We start from the raw sequence: 2137 nt of genomic DNA, 5'->3' as shown, positions 1-2137 counted from the left end.
TTTTGGTGTGTTAAGGTGTATTACTAATATGATACATATTGTAAAAACCATTAATAATAATTTAAAATTATAATATTTAACAATAAAATTACTACGTTTTGTAATTAACTATGCTAACTATATCATTAACTATATTAATGACTGATATTGCATAAAAATATATTTGTATAGCAGATAAAAAGATGGGGGAGGGATAGCATTAAGAGAAATATCTAATGTAAATGATGAGTTAATGGGTGCAGCAAACCAACACGACACATGTATACATATATAACAAACCTGCACATTTTGCACATGTGCCCTAGAACTTAGAGTATAATAAAAAAAAGTTGTAAAGATAAATTTTGTCTAGAATTCAACTAAGAGGCACCTAGAAATTTTTAAGGATAATTAAAATTCGAAGATGAAATTTGAATGTTAACATAAAGCAAAATAAAAGAAATGCCAAATACATACAATTTTAAAACTATAACAACTTCAAAATTCAAAAAGAAACTTTTATATTATTATGTTATATAATATTTTTATTTTTAAAGGCACTTTTTTCTTGTGATTAAAGGTATGTGTTCTCTTAAAAACATGTATTTCTCTACATTTAAAAAAATGATTTTTTAACTTAAAAAAATAAATTATTTTCTTCCTTTTTCTATTCCTATTTTATTTTTTTAAATTTTTTTAGACTTTTGGCCATTTTTCTTAACTTTATATAGCACTAAAATGACTTATAAAATACTATAATTATATAAATTTTGATAGGATGTTAGTGGAAATTTATATGCTATTCTGTTAGTTTATTAAATTAATGTTTATTTTTATACAAACATTAATTATTTTCAAAGTGGCTACTAAAATGAATAATAAGCAATCATAAAATAATTATACAAAATTATATAGATAAATAAGGGCAGAAATTGTTTATTTTTATATAATTATTTATTTTATTTTATTTTTTTGAGAGGGAATCTCGCTTTGTCACCCAGTCTGGAGTGCAGTGGCATGATTTCGGCTCACGGCAAACTCCATCTCCTGGGTTCACACCATTCTCCTGCCTCAGCCTCCATAGTTGCTGGGACTATAGGTGCCCACCACCACATCCAGCTAATTTTTTTTTTTTTTGTATTTTTAGCAGAGACAGGATTTCACTGTGTTAGCCAGGATGGTCTTGATCTCCTGACCTCATGATCCGCCCGCCTTGGCCTCCCAAAGTGCTAGGATTATAGGCATGAGCCACTGCGCCCAGCCAGAAATTGTATATTTTTAAATACACTAATAATCTTAATAATGCATCCGGTATATTTATATGAGTTACTGAGAAAGGTGTATTAGAATCACCTTCAATAATTTTGGTTTTAAAAATTTATCCAATTAAGAGACACTAGACCTTCTTTTTTCTTCCTAGTGAAAATACAATGAGAAGGCAGCTGTCTGCAAGCCAGGAAGAACTCTTACCAAGAATTGAATCTGCTGGCACCTTTAACTTGGACTTGCCAGCCTGCAGAACTGTGAAAAACAAATGTCTTTTGTGATCAAGTGCCAAGATGACTTACTAGAAGCAGCTAGTATGCTCCACTCTCGTGAAAAGGAAATAGACTGGCCAGTAAACACTAGCACTTCAACTGGATCTTCCAAGAGGACATGTTGGGATTCAGCAAGGAAGCAACAGAAGCCATGGAGAACAAAAACAGCAAGACACAACAGCCACCCACCCAGGATTGGGTGGAGTCAGGGGAGGATCCTTACCACAAAGAAATAGTGACTGAGAGAGAGCCCCATGGCCCCATACTTCTGTCACGGACCTTTGTAATCATAGGCACAGGTGATCCACCCTGAGTCCCTCCCCCTGGGGCCTTCAGACTAACAAGGAGAGCTGCATAGAATCTGGGCAGAGCTCCAGATCAGGCACATGAGAAGTCCCAGGGGTCTTAGACCCCTAAGCACCCCAGTGCTAGTTGCCATAGCTTCACCAACAAGAACGCCAAGTTCTCTGCATGCCAAAAGTTAGTGGCTACATTCATGGTTCTGAGGAGCAGAGGGACTTCATGCCTTGCCTCTGGTTAACCTCTCCAGGCAAGGCACACTGACCTGGAACTCCAGAACAGCCATGAAACACCCATTTGACCTCTTCAACTGGCAGCAG

The sequence above is a fragment of the Homo sapiens genome, chromosome 9 (assembly GCF_000001405.40).
Source record: "Homo sapiens chromosome 9, GRCh38.p14 Primary Assembly".
Lineage (NCBI taxonomy): Eukaryota > Metazoa > Chordata > Mammalia > Primates > Hominidae > Homo > Homo sapiens.
Note: the sequence above shows the minus strand (reverse complement) of the source record.